The sequence below is a fragment of the Homo sapiens genome, chromosome 12, assembly GCF_000001405.40.
Source record: "Homo sapiens chromosome 12, GRCh38.p14 Primary Assembly".
Taxonomy (NCBI): Eukaryota; Metazoa; Chordata; class Mammalia; order Primates; family Hominidae; genus Homo; species Homo sapiens.
Genome location: NC_000012.12, coordinates 126729963 through 126751479, shown reverse-complemented (window position 1 = coordinate 126751479; position 21517 = coordinate 126729963). Strand labels below are relative to the sequence as shown.

At 41.3% G+C, this 21517-nt stretch overlaps 2 long non-coding RNA genes across 2 annotated transcripts in view, besides 1 other annotated feature; one reads left to right on the top strand and one right to left on the bottom strand.

Moving 5' to 3' along the window:
- LINC00944 (long intergenic non-protein coding RNA 944) overlaps window positions 1–20779 on the top strand; it is a 41562-nt gene extending 20783 nt beyond the window's left edge. The window contains exons 2-5 of the long non-coding RNA NR_033878.1: window positions 3353–3549; window positions 5148–5219; window positions 19073–19137; window positions 20677–20779. This is a non-coding gene — a long non-coding RNA (long intergenic non-protein coding RNA 944). The remainder of the gene's footprint in view (window positions 1–3352; window positions 3550–5147; window positions 5220–19072; window positions 19138–20676) is intronic.
- LINC00943 (long intergenic non-protein coding RNA 943) lies at window positions 5224–14473 on the bottom strand. Its single transcript, NR_038256.1, has 4 exons — window positions 14324–14473; window positions 8000–8740; window positions 6592–6710; window positions 5224–6474 (listed from the first exon to the last, which is right to left on the bottom strand). It is a non-coding gene; the product is annotated as a long intergenic non-protein coding RNA 943 (long non-coding RNA).
- Window positions 8723–9922: an enhancer, noted in NCBI's record as "CDK7 strongly-dependent group 2 enhancer chr12:127226104-127227303 (GRCh37/hg19 assembly coordinates)". NCBI's record gives its function as "activates an origin of replication core promoter dependent on BRD2, BRD4, P300/CBP, MED14 and CDK7 cofactors, with strong dependence on CDK7, by STARR-seq in HCT116 cells {active_cell/tissue: HCT116}" and the evidence as "EXISTENCE:reporter gene assay evidence [ECO:0000049][PMID:35650434]".
- Window positions 20780–21517: the final 738 nt, after the last annotated feature.

Here is a 21517-nt window from a genome sequence, read left to right as displayed (position 1 = left end):
CACTTTTTAACCACTCCACTCTCCCATTGGTGGGTACCCAGGTTGCATTGAAGCACACATCTCCAAGATACAACACTGCAGTAAGCATTCTCACACATATATGCTGAGGGGTTCATCTTCTGCTCATTGATTTGTACAAGCTCCCTGGATATTTCATCTGTCAGTCTTTTGATAAGTTTAGACTCTGCAGATACCCCTGGGGAGACATTCTTCTATCTCAAAGTGCTTCAGAAAATCCAGTAGTGATCTCAACAAAATGCTGTGACAACACAATCTTCCTTATTATGATAACATAGTCTCTTCAGTTGCAAGGTGAAATCAATTCCTGGGGTTTCTCACATTCTCATTTTCATTAAAACTAATTCTCTCCAAAACATGTCAAAACATTATTCTTTTTATGTGTCTGTATAGTCTCCTTTACTTATAAAACTGTTTTAATTTTCAAAATTAAAATAGATGCTACTCATTATTCACAATCGCAAAGAATCAAACCAAATGCCCATCAATGATAGGCTGGATAAAGAAAACGTGGTACAAATACACCATGGAATACTATGCAGCCATAAAAAGGAAAGAGATCTTGTCCTTTGCAGGAACGTTGGTGGAGCTGAAAGCCATCATCCTCAGCAAACTAATGCAGGAACATAAAACTAAGCACTGCATGTTCTCACTTATAAGTGGGAGCTGAACGATGAGAACACCTAGACACATCGAGGGGAACAACACACACTGGGGCCTGTCGCAGGGTGGCGGGGGAGAGAGAGGATCAGGAAGAATAGCTAATAGATTCTGGGCTTCATACCTCGGTGATGGGTTTATCTGTGTAGCAAACCACCATGGCGCACGTTTACCTATGTAACAAACCTGCACATCCTGCACATGTACCCCAGAATGTAAAATAAAAGTTGAAGAAAAAACAACAAATGCTACTAATTCACTTTAAGGAAAAAAATATTAAAATGTTCAATGGTCTAATTTGTGATAAATATGAACAACTACCAGAATCAAGATGTGAAGCAATATAGATGCACAAAACTAATCAAAAGAAAATTCTAGAGTGGGAAATTAAGAAACAGGCATTATCTTTGCTCTGCAGGTAAATTCACTCTGATTGCCTTTCTGGTAACTGTATCTTCTTTCCCGCTGAAGAACCATCCCTCTCCGACTCTCAGTTCTGCCCGTGTGGAACCCAACCTCTGCTAACAGAGGAAACTTAGACAATAACAGCTAAGCCAAGCAGTGTGTTCCTGCCTCTCTCCACAGTGACTGGCTCAGGCTTGGGCGTGGAGAGCTAAGGGAGAGCCAGGGAGAGCTAAGGAGCACTGACTGGGGAGAGCTAAGGAGCGCTGGGGAGACTCCCTTGGGTCATCTACAGATGAGATTCTCACCCTTTTGCGTGGAAGCTGACATCCAGAGGTTTTGAAGTCTGGGCTGGTGCATCTGTCTTTCACTGATTCATCCATTATCTTTTTTTTTTTTTTTTTTTTTTTTTTTTTGAGACCGAGTCTCACTCTGTCACCAGGCTGGAGTACAGTGGCATGATCTTGGCTCACCACAACCTCCGCTTCCCGGGTTCAAGCAATTCTCCTGCCTCAGCCTCCTGAGTAGCTGGGACTGCAGGTGCCCACCACCATGCCTGGCTAATTTTTTATATATTTTTTTTGTAGAGACGGGGTTTCACTGTGTTGGCGAGGCTGGTCTCAAACTCCTGACCTCAAGTGATCCTCCCGTCTCAGCCTCCCAAAGTGCTGGGATTACAGGTGTGAGCCACCATGCCTGGCCTCATTATCCTTTTTACATATAAAAGAAAGTCTCTCTGAGAAGCCAAGAATACTCCTGGAGCAAGTAAAATGAGAAAGTTACCTGAAAGAAACGTACTTCAGACAGAGAGAAGACCCAGGGCAGAGATCCTGCTGCAGACACAGCCTTGGAGTATGGGGAAATAGGAGAGTAGGGAGCTAGAGTGGGGTGAACAGAGTAAATGATGGTAGGAGGCAAAGGAAAAGCCTATTTTTGAATGTCAACAGCATGGCATAAAAAAGAAGAGAGAGCAGGGGGAAGTCAAAGGAGTTTGGTGTGTTCTTGATAGCAAATGAAGGCTGAAGGCAGGCCTACACCTCAGGGCTATGTTATGACTTTGGGTGCTTCAGAAGCTTTTGCTTTGTGGATTCCTACTCTATTAAAATATTGTTATAGTGATTTTTCTTCTAATTTTAAAATAAATTAAAATTAAAATATTTTCATGAACCCTTTAATAGTACAGTGGGCCTCAGGCATGGTGTCTATTGAGACTACTGGATAAATTGGCCATGCTACCCCTGGCTTATTATTTATAGAAAGCATTAAATTACTTTTTTACTTAAGCCAGCTTTGGTATCGTTTTCTATTATTTGTAGTCAAAAATTGTTAACCAACACAAAACGTTTTCTTTTCCTTAAGCAACATTTAATAATGCACGCATCCTTCCCGCGAGAAACCATTAGTGTAAGCAAAACAGACGTTAATTACCAAATTTAAAACAAGCAAACTTTGGTGTTCTATTTCTTGAGTATTATCAGAGGAGGATCAAGTGCAGAGCTAGACAATAACTTTAGAGAAGTAATCATGGCATGCAGCTGTGCTTCTATTTTAATAGATCTGCTTCTCCTACATAACCTGCCATCAGTGGGTGACAGGCTGGATATCATTCCCCAACAGTGGGGAGGAGTTAGGCAGTGTCTTCACCCCCACACCCCATCCTCAATTCATTTTATGGCATTTAGCTGTTGTCAAGTTATGCTATTATAGAACAAATTATAGAACAACTGGCCCACTGTGGGCCTGAGCCTGGCATCTTTATACCATTAATACCTGCTCAAACAAGCATGTGCAGGTGTAACACTAAAAATAGCACAATAAAAGTGTTTCTAGCTGGACAGGAGAAAGCCCAGACTCCCAACACAGTCACTGTTACTAATAGCTAAGCTGGACATTTTTCAGTACTTGATGCTTTTCAAAGCATTTCGATGTGCATTATCTCCTGTGATCCTCAGAGACCACCCCCGTGCCCTCCACAGAAGCTATAATTCTCATTTTATCAAATAGGAAAATAAAGCTCCAACATTCAAGGAACTTGTCCATGATGTCTATGTCACAGGGTGGGGTCTCCAATACTGATCTTGAGTTCCGATTCGAATGTCCCTGGGCCATCTCCATCCCCTTCGTAGCTTTGGGAGGAGTGAGAGGCTCTCCTGTGTTTAAATCTTGAGAATCAATGATATTCTCTTTGCCCAAGACCATCATGTGAGATCCCACATTTGAACCATAGAAATTTTGGAGACTCACATCCTAAAACCACGTTTCTCTATCCCAGTTAATCCCGTCATGTATTGACCCGGAAACATCATCTCATTTGCCTATAAGACAGAGAGAGAGAATGATAGAAATGCTGGAAGAACGAGCCTTGGGGCGGTATCGCCCAGATCTGAATCCACACAGCAGCTGCTTCGGTCCCTGTAACTCAAGGCTTCCTCTTAATCCTCTGTCCTCCATCAACACCTGGCTGAGCAGGTACTTCACAAACATTAAAAATAGTATAATTTCTAGGATCTATTTGTTAACTTGATCTCATTGGTCTATTAAAGCATCACACTGAGTTTCATGTAAATCATCTGTAGTATCCAGAAAGATTAGAGAAGAAGCTTTTGAAACAACCTCCACTTAACCTGCTTGCAGGGGATCCCACACCCTCCATTCCCCTCCATGGCCAGCAGGGGGCGCTCGCTCTAGGTGCTGGCTCTCTCTCCAGCTGCCAGGGCATTTCTGCTCCCATCAGGGGTGCTTTAAGCTTAGTACCAGCCTCTGTTATGGCATTATTACACTGCCCTCCTTTAATCTATACTATATAAATCCGTGAGCAGATTGAGCCGCTTCTATGAAAAGGAGCATAAATGCTGTGGAAAGATTCTACAAAACAACATGACTAAAACCATTTCTGACAAATTAGGTGTGGACAACAGAACTCTAAAACACAACGGAAAATTAAGCTCTGGAACGGTCCCTTCCTCCAATTGATTCTGAAGTGTCTTTAAGTCATTTCCCCACATTCGAGAAAACACAACTGGATATTGCAGATGGCCCGTTAGGAAGGTTATGGTTTATGACTGAAAGAGATCACACCAGCCCTGCAGACTTCTGCAAATAAAAATCTTGGCTCCACACAGCAAAAGACTGGGAAAGGAATACTTATTTATTTATTTATTTTGAGACAGAGTTTCGCTCTTGTTGCCCAGGCTGGAGTGCAATGGCGCGATCTCGGCTCACCACAACCTCTGCCTCCTGGGTTCAAGCAGTTCTCCTGCCTCAGCCTCCCGAGTAGCTGGGATTACAGGCATGCACCACCACACCCTGCTAATTTTGTATTTTTAGTAGAGACGGAGTTTCTCCATGTTGGTCAGGCTGGTCTCTAACTCCCGACCTCAGGTTATCTGCTCACATCGGCCTCCCAAAGTGCTGGGATTACAGGCGTCAGCCACCGCTCCCAGCCCATACTTTTAAATAAAAGAGTAATTATATAGAGATCACTGTTTAAACAATTTCTTAATCTGTATCTTTTTTATGGAGCCAACTCATAAAGTCACTTTTTTATGAAGCCTTGTCCTAGAGGGCTGCCTCTGCAGTGCTAGGTGGGTCTGCAGAGCTCAGCTTCCCTCTGCTGCAGATGAGTGTTGCATCCTTGGACAAATCATTTCTGCTCTGAACCTTCATTTTGCCTTCTGCATATGAGGTGTTTGATGAAAACAATTTCTGAGATTCCTTCATTTCTGATATGCTAGGATTCCACAAGCAAACCAATCTATGGGTGTGCACTTGGAGAGAGTTCTGTAGAGACGAAAAAGTTTTACCCTATGACAGAAGGACAAAATTCAGTAAAGAGTAGGGCTCCCATAATATAAGAAACCACTGCCAGCCCATGAGAACATTTTAGAGGGGAATGTCAAAAACATATTACCATATAAAATGTTAATATATATTAATATGTGAAAGTAATTAACAAAATGAGGAAGAACTCTCTTTTAAACTTTCTGATTAATTTCAGAAGGAAGTCTCAATTGAGGGGACTATGTCTTTGACCCTTTTGAACACTTGTCCGTCTCCCCTTTAATCAGGAACAACTATGACCTAGGACCAGGGCCTTCAGGAATCTTCACCCCTAACTTGAACTTCATAACACTGGAGAGGTAATTTTGACATGATTATTATTGTTATGCTTTATTTAAAGCCAGAAAGTTTAATTTTTTCATTTACAGAAGTGATATCAAGTTTCTGTTTTAGGTAAATTCATGTAAATAAGCATATGAGTTGATTTAAGGGAAGATATTGATTGAACAATATTTCTCATGATGTGTACATGTGGAAGAAACAGTGGAATCAGATGAGAGAGAGGTTTGCAGCTGCTCAGTCCCTGAGGGCAGGAGTCCCCCGGGTTGGACACATCTGTTCCATCTTCACCACTAACAACTCATGGGACTTCCAGGAATGGAAGCCACAAACAAAACAGGCTTTCAAACAAATTAAAGGAAAATGTAAGATGTGTAAAATGAAAACGCACACATTTACACTTTCTAATCTCTGCCTCACACACAGACATGTACACTCACACACATTTTCAAAGTGGAAATATGTCTGTAGTAAGGCCATGGGTGGTTCATCGCTGAAACACATTATCCCGTTTCATGAACAATGTTACCCCAGTGAATTTAATGTGATTTCTTGTCATAACCATCCAGCAACCTCACATTGACACGGCAATGTGAAGTTTTCGAAGTCTCCTTCATTGGTTGGATCTCTACGGATCTGATGGTCTGGTTCCTGTTTGACAGATAAGAACCTAGAGCTCTGTGAGGCAAAAGGATTTCGCAAAAGTCACACAGATTTAGGACCAGGTCTCTGCATGCCCAACCCCGATGTGGCTTCTCTTTCCACTGTCCCATCTATAAATTGTAAGAAGATGGTAAGACTGTCTCTTGTTCCTGTTCTTGTCCATTGCTGCATTATCATTTCTCCTGGGAACATCACTCTAAATAAAAACAGGTATAAGGGAACATTCTATACTATCTTTGCAACTTCTCTTTAAATTTAAAATTATTCAGAAATAAAAAAGCTTACTGAAAATTAGAATGCAGGATTTTAATTCTAAGGGAAAGGAAAATTCTCCATGTATCTAATCTAAAAAAAACATGGAAGTCATCATGAGTTTGTTTCTGGGGGATGATATCAGATGAAAATGGGCCCTTAGGTAGTAGGAGGTGGCAGGTCTCAGTTCAGTGTTTACACATGGCTCCACGCAGAGCTACAGACTGAGTTCCTTAGCAGCTTCCGTAGGAGGTCCTTTGAAGAAGGGCTGCTCTGCATTCGATATGTAGAAACTTGTGGAGAAGATGAGGAAACTGAGGAAAACCACCAATGCAATCCACAATCCAATCCCTTGACTCTCTGCAACCGCACAAAAAAAGGAAAAGCAAAGAAATAGTAATTAACACAATGCATACAAACTGAGGTCTACCCATCACTTCCAATACCTGTTTTCCCCAACAGTGAAAATTCGTGTACAGAGTATTCCCCAATGACTTCTCTCAGGCAATGTAGAAAGGGAGAAGTCGATTCAGCATTGACTAGTTGGTACTGTGGCTCAACAGGCTCCATCTCTGAAAGTGTTGATTCTTCCTTTTCTTAAAGGAAAGAAAAACAGGAATCAATATCGTTTGTTTGCAAACCTTATGCACAGTAAGCTGCCCATCACCCAAAACTATTTTTGACATCCCGCCTGTGGAATGTGGCATGCTGATACTTGAGAACTTCTTGCTTATTTCCATCATCCCTTTATGTTGCATCTACTTGGGGAACCTGTTAAGGAGACATTCAGATATCTCCATCATTTCCACTAAAATGTGAATAATGCTGTGGGAGAACATTTACACTTCTAGAATCTTCCATTCTATAAAAATTAAAAGTCATGCCACATAGCTGCTACTGAGGGTGCCTAAAGATTGAAACTCAAGCATATTAACTGCAGTATCACTTATAACATCAAACCAAATAAACAGCAAATATGCTGTAGCCATGTTCCTGAATTGGAATCTGATATTTATAAGCGGAACAATCCTGGGCAAGCTGCTTCGTCTTCCTGTGATTCAAGGTTTCTCACATAGGACACGGGATGATAATAGATTCAGCCTTGCTGGGTGATTGTAAGCATCATATGAACTCCTATGCTAAAGCACTTAGAAGAGTTACTGGCATGTTTAAATCATAAATATCCCCTTGCTATTGTCTTTATTAATAATTAGCATTAAATGGTAATTAATAAGGGACTGCATAAAGAAATCAGGATATACTTTTTAAAGTGTATATTTCTAGTTCATCATCTAATAACTTATTCTATGGAAATAATCAAACATTTTGGAAAGAGATATATGTGCCAAGATGTTCATGGTAACCATTATTTATGACAGCAAGAAGCCTTTGAAAGCAACCTGAATATCCATCATTAAAATGATTAAATAAATGTGGTTCAGACATGCTATAAATAGGATATTAAATCTCCATCAGAACCATGACTTGAAGATAATATAATCTCACGGGAAGCATTTGCAATGTGTTATATGAAGCAGCATATATAAAATACTATTTAACCAAAACTAATAATTCCTTACACAAGTGTACACGTGTATATGTAAAATACATAAAGCATATATAATTATGTCACACGTATTTGTTATTTTGAGGGGATCTTCAGCAACATTTCTAATAAAAAATGTGACCCTATAGATGGGACAGGGTCCAGATAAAAATGCAAAGAGGAAGACATGCCTTAGGAGATCATTCTCAGAAGAATTATCTGCTGTAACTTATACTTGAAAAGGTAAAGCGATGCAGAAGCACCATTAATAAAGAATCTGGGAAAAATCCAATGTCACGTTTAGTTGGTTTATTTCCCCTTGTAAAAGTGGCCAGTTACCTTTCTGGTGAATTCATTCATAAAGCGATGGAGGTTGAGAAGCGGGGCTCCTGCAAGTCCAGCACTCTGTGCAGTGTGATCCTTCCGTATCCAGAAGATACGCAGCTGAACACATGCAGATTAGAGATTTTCAGGTTTTGTCTTCTCCCCAAATCCAGGAGGAACCCAAGGCAAGATTAAAATTCTGATTGCATTCCAGATATGGAAAAAAGAACTTGAAGTAAAGGCAAAACTGAAATAGGCTTTCTTCCCATCATGGGTGGGGTTTCTCATCTCCTTTATCGTTTAGGTAGATATTTTTATACCTTTTGATTTATGAAAAATTTAAGAATGCAGTTTCTTTTTTCTTTCAGTTTTGTGGCAAAATCCTCTGCTTTGTGTGAAATAGCTGCAGTAAAATGCTGTGTAAATTTTATCTGAAAGGTTCTACGGAAAGCCATAAACATCAGTTGCTAGGGCCTCAGTTTGTCCAAGGGCCAGATTGCAACAAAATATTTTTGAATTTAGACATATATATTGAATTTTATAAAGCCACAAAAATATGTCTTGAGGAATACATGGTAGTTTGACAAGCCAACACCTCTCTCCTTAATCCAAAATTCAAAAGGTAGTATAATTCTTTCTTTCCCAGCAGCAGAGGAAGTGACTATTGCAACCCACATTCTGAGTGTGAAATGAGGCCTCATTCAGTTTCCTAATTTCCAAGATTCTTTTTCAGCACCCAGCTGAATAAAGTATGTCCTGGGAAGAGAGAAGAAGAAAGTCTTAATGAGGCCCAGCTCAACAGGGTGTCTCATTACTGGCCTGGTTATGAGCTACAGAGAGAATCAAGCATAGAGGTTCAGAGAAAGACAGAGTGAATCTGTGAGGCTTGCCAGACAAGCGCTATGGGAGAAGCTTCCTCCAGCCCGGCGGTGCCAAGAGAAGCTGGCTCCAGAGAAGCCTCAAAGAGCTTCGGGGGAAAGCTAATGGCCCATTGGAAGGAAGCCACTCCCAGGGTCTTGGGAACCCTGGCAGGAGACTGCGGCCCACAGCGCTTCCACGGACTTAACTGTCTCATTTGTAGCTGTGCTTGGAACACATACATCATCCCTGGAAATGTGCCTCTGTCAGGATTGAGGAAGCCCTGAATGCAAACACTCCGGCAGTGTGACAGGGCCCCTGATACAACCCGCAGACCTGAAGGCCTGCCATATCCTCCCCACATCTCTATAAAGCTAATTACCTGCTGCATGGCCAACGGGGAAAAGGATTCATGGCATTTCCACAGCTGAGGCAGTTCCTGTAGCATAGACAGCCAACGACTCAGGCACAGAGAACCAAGCTCAGGTCTCCTTCCAATGGGCCAGCTGGCCAGACTTTCAAAAATCTCCAGCAAGATCAATGCCTCATTAAATACCGAAATGTAGCCGTGTGGAGTCGCTGACAATACACAGTTACATACCCTCTTGGGTCCATGGTCTTGCCTGCCAAGAGCTTGAAGGAGCCTCGGTAAGTAAACTGATATTCATCCGGGGTGATGGTGTTGATGTCACTGCTTAGGGTGAAGGAAAGGGCCAAAGGTTCCTCATAATTTTGTAACCAGGCTTGTCTGAAATATCGGTTTCTGATTTTTTGACACAGCTTCCTCTGTGCTGTCTTCATGGCTGTTACTGGCTCCTTGCTCAGCCTGGAAACCTCTCCACCAGGATGTGTGCAGAGATGTCAGCCCCTGGTCAGGCATCCTCAGCCATCTGGCACCCCCTCAAAGAGGCCCTCTGTCATCTGCCAATCTACAGTCGATACCACCATGACTTTCCCATAGAGGGAATTCCCAGAAAACAGTTCTTGTTCTCGCTTCTAGTCCAATTTTCCCCAGAAAAAGTCACATTTCTGACAAGACTTGTTTCTGAAAAGCCACTACGCTGTCAACTGCCGGTTTGTCCTGGGCCCCCAGACACCTTCCTCTGTTGTGTATGCCTCCGAAATACATTTCCCAGGCTCTCTCCCACCGGCTTTCAGCAGGTTCAGCCAATTTGGAGGCACTGGTGCAAGGTTGGAGGAGAAGAAGAAGGAAGAACTCGAGTATGTGTTTTTCTTCCTGCTTCTTGCAGCATTTTCTGCTAATGGCTTTGTCTCCTATGTGGTTCCAACTCCTTGAGAGCTCCCCTTACCGTCTTCTCATATCCTCCAGCAACATCATCCAGGACAGCTACGACTATGGTTCTAACTTCCACCAAACAGTCCCCGTACTTGCGCACTAGCAGTATCACCTCTTCCCTCTGTCCCTCCAACCATAGGAGTGGTAACAGTTTCTTGCAACTCTTAACCTCTGCGTTCTTTTCTCAAGAAATATTAAGCTTTTTTTTAGCTTTTCTACACCTGGGTAAATAATCCCTGTATTAAATCCCTCTGTTAAAATACCTAGAATGTTTTTTGTTTTCCTAGCTGGAATGTGTCTTAGAGATTCAGTCATTTCATCCTATTCTGTTTCCTTAAAAACATTTATTGCCGCCTAAAAATGTCCTATGTATACGTTTTGTTACTCTTCTATCAATCATCAATCCCCCCAAAATGTCCAGCCTCCTGAGAGGAAACGTTTTGGTATTTAGCTCACTGTTTCATCCCAAGTGCCTAGAGGGAGGTCTTACATATTTGCCAAATGAATAAAAATCTGTGCATCAAGTAAGATGACCTCCAATTAAAACATGAAATAAGATGGATTAAAGGGTGGACAGTGGACCAGATGGATAGATACGTGATGAGCAAACATTGTAAAATATTAACTGTTGAATCTAGGAGCTGGTATATGGATGTTCACTGAGCAATCCTAGTAGCTCTGTCACTACCTGAATAGGAGGCAGCTGATGCCCTGAGAAGCTGAGACACCTGAGCTGGAGCCCCAGGCCTGCATGAGCCCACTGTAGGTACTGAGAGAAACCACGTAAGTCCTCTGAGGTTCAGTTTGTTTTCTCTGTGCTAAGTGGGATTTTATAGTCTATCCACCCACCAAAAACACACCATGAGACAACTTAAATGTGCCCTTAACCTTTGACTTCATTTTGATGGGACCATCCACAGAGTCCATTTGCTTTGGACTTCTCACTAATTGAGACTGATCTTCCTCTTCTTTGGCCATTATGTATATCAGTAAGGATTCTTTTAAAAGAATTCTATAAAACATGCAGTCACTAGGAGTAGACTGGCTTCAGGCTCAGATGGATTCAGGTGCAACCAATGGCACCAACATGCTTTTTCATTCATTTCTCAGTCCTGCTTTCCATGGTGTGGCTTTTTGCTTAAGCTCCACAAGGTGACAAGAACACCATCTCCTAAATGTTGTTCAGTCCATCAAGAACTGGTTAGGGTTCCTTTTCCACAAGTCACAGTAGAAGAAGGAATAAGCCATGCAGCATGTCATTGTCTCTAGTGGGTCATGTGTCGTCACTAACCCTATCACTGTGGCCTAGGGGGAGACTATATTGAGTAGCCCAGCCTATGCCAGGAGGCCCCCTACCGAGGCCTAAAAAAGGGTCAGTTTTTCTGAAGTACAAAGCTGGAAGGTAGGGGACAGGTGGTGTTTTTCCATAGCATTCTTAGATACTGTTAGGACAGGAAGGGCAAAGGAATGCTAAGCAGAAAAAAATTAACAATTGTTCATTCCCAAACCCAAACAAAATAGTGAAATAATAACATAATCTGACTTATTCAACTCAGTAATCTTGTTAAAAAAGAGAAACCAAGAGTGCCCTCAGAGTGTACCAGATATTTAAGCAATTATTCTGGAGAAAAAAGTTACTGTTGGAATTGACTCTTTTTTTTTTAGCATTGTAAGATTAGACTGTCTGAACCCAGTGCCATGAATGATCTAATAGAAATACTTTATGACACTGGGTCCTCAGTAATAAGCTCAGTAGCAATGAAAAAATCAGACATAAGTTAACCCCCGACCAATGTGATCTTGGCAGTTTTACCAATTTCCTCCAAAAGCTTAGGCTAGAGATCCAAAATAGATCCCATGCTAGATGACATTTTTCTTCTAATCTAACACAATTTTTAACATCTAATTAGTTGTCAATCTTTAAAAAATCCAGCTCTCTAGCTTTTCTTTGAAAATATAAAAAGATCTGGAAAGTGGGACATACATTTTTCCTGGCACTAGTCAGATGGCCCTCAGTGGCTGCTGAGCCCTTTACATGGGGCCTCTGTCCTAAGGTTCGCTGCAGTCCCCACCATTCCCTGCTGCCCATGCCCAGACTGCTTGCCTCATTTGTGTCCCCTGCCTGGCCTTCCTGTCACCCCTTCAGGGAACTGTGTGAGAACAAGGCCGACATTGGGGAAAGCAGCACTGGAGATGGAGACAGAATCCCCATGATACATTTGAATACCAGGACCCAGGGTGAGTTTATAGCCCCGATCTAGGCATTGACTCCTCATCAATATGGTAATTTAATTTGTTTGTTAAAAAGGTAAAATACAAGTCATCCAGGATAACTTGGGGAAGCCAGTTTCTTGTATGGACTGATTTACAAAAACTAGAGAGATAGAACAATCATGTTGCTTTTTTCTTGTGGAAAGACCTCTGCTATGGACTGAACTGTGTCCCCCAAAATTCGTATGTTGAAGCCCTAACATCCAATCTGGCTGAGTTTGGAGTAATGAAGTAATTAAGGTTAAAGTAGGTGGTAGTCTGATAGGATCCTTATAAGGAGAGATAGCAGAACGCTCGCTATTTCTCTCTGCCACGTGAAGACACTGTGAGAAGGTGGTTGTCTGCAAGCTGGGAAGAAAGCCCTGGAACTAATCAGCAGGCACTTTGCTCTTGGGCTTCCAGTCTCCAGAATAGTGAGAAAATAAAATTTAAGCCACCCAGCCTATGGTATTTTATGGCAGTACCAGAAGATTAACGCAACTACCTTAAGGAAATTAAGACTGTTTAAAAATGGCCATAACACTTGTTGATGTATTAATGGGTGCTTCTTAAGAGTTGAAACAGTGTCAGCTCAGGAGCTTAACTGTCACTCCTGCCGTCTTTTTCATGGTATTATATTACTGTTATATTATGTTTAACTTATGTTACAGAAAAAAACAGATGTAAGTATCATTTCTATCAGAGCTAATTATGTAAAGGCCGCTGTTACACGTATGACACAGCCAACACATATCCACAGTGGAAGACACAGTATTATCCCTGGAAACAAATAATATAGTTGGGAAGAGAAGACATATGCTCACAATAAATACTGATGCATAAATGAAAATGCATTATGCACTGCTAAAATTGCTTTATACAGTTTTAACTATTGTCAGAGTTTAGAAAAAGAAGAGATAAATGAGTTTGAAATAATCACAAATAGGTAATTAAATTAATCTTAACTATTAATTGCTAACTATACATCAAGCATGAGTTAAGTACTTTGCATCTACTGAGTCATATGAGGTTAAGAAGTTTGCCCACTGGCACAAAACTAACAAGGGGTGAGTTAGGATTTGAACTCAGGCTCCAGAGGCTGTGCTCAGATGAACTATTTCCTTCCTGATCCTTCAACCAGCTGCAGGCTGTTTGCAAGTTTCCCTTTGAACTGATGGCTGGTAAAAGTCACAGGCTCTGTCATGTCCTTCTCTTGTGTCCCCTAGTAGACAGTCCTGTTAAGTACCCAAAGCAGGCCTCATCATTGTTTTAATTAGTAAAGTTTCAGGAAATGTCTGTGGAATAAAACCTATAAAGAGGAACTCAAGAAAAAAAATAGAAGATTTATTATCCCACAAGCCTTAGAAATCTCCAACCCAAAGTCTCAATAAGAACAGTTTACACAAGAGCCTTGGAGGAAACTGGGAGAATCGCTTGAACCCAGGAGGTTGCGGTGAGCCGAAATCGCGCCATTGCACTCCAGCCTGGGAAACAAGAGTGAAACACCATCTCGAAAAACAAACAAACAACAAAAAAACTATATCCCTTATTCCCCAAACCTAATCAAGCACTACTTCCTCTGTGCCAGGTCTTAACTACTTGTTGAGGATGTGGAAATGTAGATGGCATGATTTCTGGTCAGCTCATGTGGTGGAGAAGACAGACCCACAAATCAAATGCTGTGTGTAATGCATTGCAGTGTCTACATGTGTACTTTGCATATGGAAAGTCAGCCTGGGAGGGAAGAACGTCAATCTTTTCTCTGGAAAAGCACATGTCTGAGCTGGTTTTGAAGGATAAGAAATGACTGGGAGGTGTGTGAGTGTCTGTTGGAGGTGGATAGATAAACTCCACGCACAAGAGTATGAGGGCAAAAAGATTAGTATCAAGCAAAAGCAAATTACTTTTCATGGAGAACAGAGTTACAACAGTACCCGTATCTGGTATCTGTGGTTCTTCCTGTCCAGCATCCACACTTCTCTCTGAAAAACATCCTGATTGTCCCTTAGGCCTCACCCCTTTCTTATTTTCAGTCTCTGTGGTCTGGGTGGGATGAACCCCACCCCAATCCTAGTTCCAAGACTGGTCATAATGCTGGCAGTCATGACCTCACAACATTCTATGCACCTGGAGCCTGGATACAGTGATGCCATCAGGTGTGGTATGTGATCACAGGCAACTCAGGAACAGCTCTCCAGCCCCAGGACTTCTGCTGGAACCGCTGGGAGTTGGAAGCTTTCTTCCCACTGAGGGGCAAACCTTCTAGGTATCTGAAGATGTTGAAGACCATTTCCTGGAACAGCAGAGGTAAATGCCCAGAGGATGAGAACACATAGCCATTAGGAGAGCCTGAAAGTTCAGTGTGACTGAAAGATGAAGTTCAAGAGAAGGGACAAACTGCAAAACACAAGCTGGAGAGTTTTAGGTAAGAGTCATATCACAAAAAGCCATTAAGCATTTTAAAATGCTTAGCCTTTATCCAAAGACTAATGGAAAGGCACTGACATGACCTAATCATGAATGAGAAGATTTGATTAAATATATCTCTCTACAATGATGGAGAATGGACCAAAAGCAGGCGGGGACAAGGACAGTAAACTCTGCTAGGGACTGCTAGAATGACCCTGAAAGAATAGCCCTGAAGATAGAAAGAAGTAGATAGTTGCCAAAGATACCTGTGGAATACAAAAGTACCAGTGCCCACCAGATCAAACTACACATGGATCTGAATCTCAGAAAAGGGCTCCGAGCTAGGGAAAGAGATTTAGAAGCCTTCAGCAGAGAGATGATGTTTTAAGCCTTAGGAGTGAATGAAATTACCCAGAGAACATGCATGATGAGAAGAGAACCTGGAACAGCAGGGGCCAAGATTTAGGATCTGTCAGACAACGAGGAGCCCAAGACTGAGACCTGTTAATCCAAAATGCACCATTTTGTAAGCTCCCTGCCAATATGCAGACCTTGGTCAAAGTGAAACATTCCACGAGGGTTCGGGCCATGAGAACCTGCCTGCCCAACCGCCTGACTTTAACACATTCTGCTGAGAAAAAGTCCAAGGAACATCATTATTACATTCTGTGGGAACAAGGCCCCAACTGCCTCATTGTGGGAACGTCTTCTCAACATCTTCCCTGGCAGCACGCCATACTGCCCAGACCCCTCCCTGCCATACCTACAAGTATCCCAGCCTGTAAGCAGTGGTGGGCACTGGCATTAAGCTGGTCCTCCACCTCGGCAGGTTTACCTGGACATAAATACCTGCATTTGCTGTTGAGCCGCCCTCTCGCTCTATGTGTGTCTTTAACCCTCACCTTCCCTTGGAAACCTAACAAGAAGCAGGAGCCAGGAAGGTAGGAGGAAGACAGAAGCCCATGGTGTTAAAAACAGCCACAGGAATTATGTAGAACAGTGATTCTCAAAGTGAGGTCCACAAACTCTCGGGGCTCCCATGACCCTTGTAGGAGGTCCACACAAGCCAAAATATCTCTATATGGATACTAAGGTGTTATTTGTTGATTTCATTCTCATGAGCACATGAATGCAGAATGGAGATTTCCGGAGGCTACCGGAAAGGTGATATTGCAACAAACTGGAGAAACAACATCATGAAATTTCTCCATTTTAATTTCTAATAAATATCAATGTTTATAAGCAAAATGGTTTTTTTGGTGGGGTGGTTTTCAACAATGTAAGGATAAACAGATCCTGTGATCAAAGAGTGAGAACACAGCCATAGAGAGCTTTACAAAGGGCATCAGTATTAATGTCAAATGTTACTGAGGCCTCGAGGGAACTAACCAGTCAGAAGCAACCATCGAATTTAGTAATGGACTTCACTCACTTGGTGAAAGCTGTTCCGTGTCATGGTGGCAGAGACACAGCACAGTGGCTGAGAGTGAGCAGGAGCTGTGGAAGTTGAATAATGCCTGAAGGGACCATTCTTTCTGTGAGTATCCAAACCAACTCATGGTAGCATGAACCCATTTCGTCTTCTACTACCCTTGGTAAAAAACGAATGGCTATCACTGAGGGCATTAACTGGATATTTCGTGCACCACTGGGCGCTGAGTGCCACAAGGTCTTTAGTTCTATTTAGCCACCCCTTTTCCAAAGCCCAATACCTGAAGCATCTCAGCGAAATGCCATTAAGATGTTTGTCACACAGGTAGTCATGGCAACGGTATGTTAGCCTGTGCTCTGTTTTCAGCCTTTTGTTGTTAACAGGTCAACAAGGAGGGCAGGGGGTCTCTTCTGCACAATCTTAAATGGGATTTGTCGAGCCAAAATCCAAAACACAAGGAAACATCTTAGTAATCCTGATTTGCTTAAGGAAATTAACATTCTCTGTATCGCCCTTTGGACTTAATCTTTGATTAGGTCAAGGGTGGTTATGTGTGCAGAAAAGGATGTAGGAGGCCTGAGACTGCTGTCCTTAGAAAGATCTGCTTATAAGGTTGTCCTTTGACTGCTCTCTGGAAACTTGGATTTTGTGAGAGTTTCCAGCATTCACTAACTAAGAAGAATGGTACACTGTGATAAAACTCTTCGCACAAAGAACAGTCTATGCTGAACACTTGCTTCCTTCCTTAGAGTTTCGGATTTGGGTACATGATAGGCAGAAAGTACCTAGGCAACCAGACCTCAGCAAAGACCTCGGGTGCTGCTTTTCTAATGAGCTTCCCTGGTCTACATTTCACAATGCTGTTACCATAGGATGCAAAAGCTGGCACCCACCCTTGGACGACTGCAGTGGGAGGGGATTCCTGGAAGCTTGTGCCAGCGATCTATAGACTTTGCTCTGTGAGCCTGTTCTCTTTGCTGATTTTGCTTTACATCTTTTGTTATGATAATTCACAGCTGCAGGTAAGCCTGTGTGCTGAATCCCTTGAGTTCTTATAGAGAATAAGTGAATCTGGGGGTAGTTTTGAGGACCCTGCAACACAGTTTATCACTGAGTATGGGACAATGCAAGAAAGAGTGGCCTTCAGAATGTGTGCAGGAGCTACCAGAAGACTATTTCTTACACTCAATGGATTATGTAAGGATATAAGAACTGGGGATGTCAAAGCCCTGCTGCCACCACCAGTGAGGAACTCAGAGGTGCCAGGTGTCCTTTTCTGAAGCTGGGAGAGGAAAGCAGCACCATAGGAACCACTGTGAAAGGACATTCCTGTACCTAGACAGCTCCCATTACATGGGGCATATGGAAAAACAGTCCATGGAGGCCTGTGAAGTCTCAAGTCTTAGGTTTTTAAAAAAGAAGCATCTACCTTAAGAGAGGGAAGGATAAACCATAGAAAGTCCAATCCTTATCAACAAGAGAAAAAGGGAAGAAGAAAAGTTTGGATTTTATAAAAATTGACCAACTACAGACGAGATAATGAAGACATCCATCTTTCTGGAATTCTTTTGTAAAGACTGAAATATCTAGTCAATAACTTTCCAGTGACAAAAGAGGTTACACCAGTAGTCCTTCCATTCAGTTCATACTTTTCATATGGATGAACATAATTTATAACTTCTCCATAAATTAGAACTTCTCCAATTTTGCCGGATATCCGGAATCCACTCAGTAACACCACTCTGAATTCCTTCCTGTACCTCAAAGACAGAAATGAAAGAACCTGGCTCATTAATTTGAAAAAATAATGAAACCTGTTCCTTTCCCTAGCTGAGTTTTCCATGAAAATCCTCAATAGAATCTGTCCTACACACTCTCCTACCCCAAAGCCTAAGACAAAACTAATAAGAGCTGTCTCTTTCAAGGACTCGGACAATCCTTATTACATTATTCTACTTCCTTATTGCAGATGACTACAACAATTTTTATGGTAGAAAACAGTTAAATTTCCTCAGCTACAAAAAGAATGCATCTTATGGGACCATGCAAAGGCTATAAGTAGCTACTATCTAATCAATATAAATTTGAATTGGGCCAGCCACTTGTCACTCCTATATATGCATGTACACACACACACACACATGCACACATACAAAGTCAATTTTCATTATTGACATTCCGTATTTGCAAATTTGGCTCCTTACTAACCCTTATTTTTAACCCCCAAATCAATACCTGTGGAACATCTGAAGTCATTTTTGTACATGGGCAGAGCAGCAAAAAAATGTGAATCATCCAAACTGAGGTCAAAAAAGGCAGTGCCCTCACTTCCTGTCCAGCTCTGTAAGCAAGGGTCCTTCTGTGGTCTGCTCAGTTCCATGCTTTTCCTATTTTTGTTCATTTTGAGACTAACTTTGCTGTTTGTGTTAGATAAACTTTGCTCAGGCATGAGCTATGCAGTGTTGTCAGCTGTGAATTCAATGTTAATGAATCAATAATCTATATTAAATAGAGTATCTTTATACAGAAGTACACATAAAATAAATTATATATTGATCAGTTGATGAAAACTTTGCAAACAAAGACTAAGAGAAACCTATCTCTGCAGTTTCCCTAGGAGCAATGCTTCAGTATGTGTTAATTCATTGGAATATAACTGCCAGGAGTAATAGAAATTGTATGTATTATATAAACATACACACACGTGTTTGTGTGTGTGTGTGTGTGTATGTTTGCATGTTTGTGTGCAGATAGATTGGCAAGGAGAATTAGAACCATAATTTTGAGAGAAAGAAATTAACAAAATTCAGAATGTTTTTTACTCTGACATTTTTTTTCACAGAGAGACTGTGGAATGGAATGACTCTCCAGAGCTGCAGATTGAAGGCATATTTTCATCTGACTTTGGTGATTATGTTTCCAATCTCTCTGGGAATAAGGTGTGTTTGGGGTGAGGATGGGCAGATGTAGAACTGGCTAAACTACTCAGTCATACAGAGTTGCATCTTACCTAAAACTCAGCCATTGCCATTCCCCTAAGGGAATCTCTGACTTCAGTTTGAGTGTTCAGTGAAGCCTCATATAAAAAGGGCTCAATCTCTAACGTCTACATGGAAGCAGAATGCACCTAGCATCAAATTATTCCTAAAAAGTCTCTTTAAACCAAAACCTCCCTTAAAGATGGTAAAGTTCTGTATTGCAATATATTTGGCACAGCTGGCTTTTCCTTCAGCATTGCAACAGATTACTGCTGTTTCTGCTGAGCCCCAGTCGAAGATCTTGAGTTTAAAGTACCAAGTTGTAAAACAGTTAAACAACTACACACACACACACACACACACACACACACACACACACACACACATGCAGAGCATCTTGTCTCTAAGGACAAGAATGAAAAGAGTCTCAAAGAAAGGGATCAACAGAGGGGCTCTGAGACTCACGTGGCCTCTTGCTGGGCAGGGACACATTGAGTGGACAGATGAATTGAGGCACCTGTGTTTTCCTCATTGTACACAATGGTGTCCCCCACTCTGGGATAGACGCATACACACTGACTGTGAAAGCTAAATGTGCACAGTCCTAAATCAAGATCAGTTATGTGGAGGTGAGGATGATTGTAAACTTCTCTATTTGATGGCTATAAATATTTGAATAAAAATATTAGAATGCCCCACATTTTAAGTAACCTGATGTGTGAGATGTCTTCTGGCACGTCGAAAGGAAAGTCCATGATAACAATGACTGTGAAGGCAACATCAAGAAAGGACTCAACTTCCTGAGCATGTGCGACATGACTGACGTGGACATATGTGCTTTCCATTTCACGTAAATCTCATCACAATGCTGTCCTGTTATCTATTACTAGCCCCATTTTACAGACAAGAAAAATGAGACACAGAAACAAGAAGCCACCCATCCCACAGCACACAGTGAGGGAGTGGTGAAGGCAGAATTTACAGGTGGGCTTTCTGGCCCCTGGGCCCATGCTTTTAATAACTACACTAAAATGAACATCGTGATAATGACATCATTTGAAGGAAGCATATGCTGATAATAAAGACAACAAAGGGGGAGAGTAAATAGAGTAAGGAATAAAAATAAAATTGTCAGACCCTCAACTTTGCTAAGAAACCTATATAAATGGAAAGCTTTGGGAAGCCTGCTGCCACATTTATTGCAGCTTTTATGGCCTGGAGAATGCTGCCTACTGCATTATTTTCTATGTAAATGATGCTTAACAGTTTGAGAGCTTTTCACCGTTTTGAAAATATAATTAAAACCGTGGACCCCATCCAGAGGGAAAAAATGCACACAACCACAACTTTTCAGAAAAAAAAAAAAAAGAGAAAATTGACTCCATAATGCTTATCAGTGAAACTGCAGAAGTCAGCCTACAGGGTAATTATTTCTGTTCTAAAACTGTTCATAATATTTTTCTTTCAGATCTCAATGGCGGGAACACCTTCATGGCCCCTTTATAGCTGGTATGTTTTCTTCTTATGGACAATGAGAAACATGTAATAAACTGTGTTTCCTTCTCGCTAGGAAACCCTGAGTTAAAGCTTTACTTCCCTCTCAGGAACCATCAAAGAGCCATAATCTGTACACCCTGGTGCAACATTTCCCCTGGATTTGATCCCCTTTCAATTGTTTTAGCCTTATTTTACATTTCTTAAATCTATTTCTCTATGTTGCCATGTGTATTATCAAATGCTATTTCAGATGCCAACCATGAGCTAAAGCATATGTTGGAATTATTAAGAGAAACAGAGGGATATACTTATGTAAAATAACACATATAAATGCAATGCTGATTTTTTTTCCTTAAGAAGTCTTTAACAATTGCTTCGGAGGAATCTGCTTTTCACTGAAGCTTCAATATTTTCAGATCCTTTAATACCAGGTGTCAAACTTATTCACTGGGATGAATTATAGAAAGTTGCACCACTTTCTTCTGCCTCATTTATTCTCATTGTAAATATGAGAATTTTAAAAAGTCTTCCTAATTCTTGCTTTATGATGGATTCTATACAAACAATTGAGGTGCTGTTCACTAAACTACTGGAAACATGGGGAAGTGAGCTAAGGAGATAGGAACTATGAAATGACCTGTTTTAAGAAAATATTATATGGGAAAATCAGATCTATGTCTCTAAGTCAAATGTATAATATATACATATATACATACACATATGCATATACATATGCATGTGTGTATATATGTGTTTGCGACTTTTCTCCTCACCTCTATTAATCACACTCATCCTAATTCATATTAAGGATG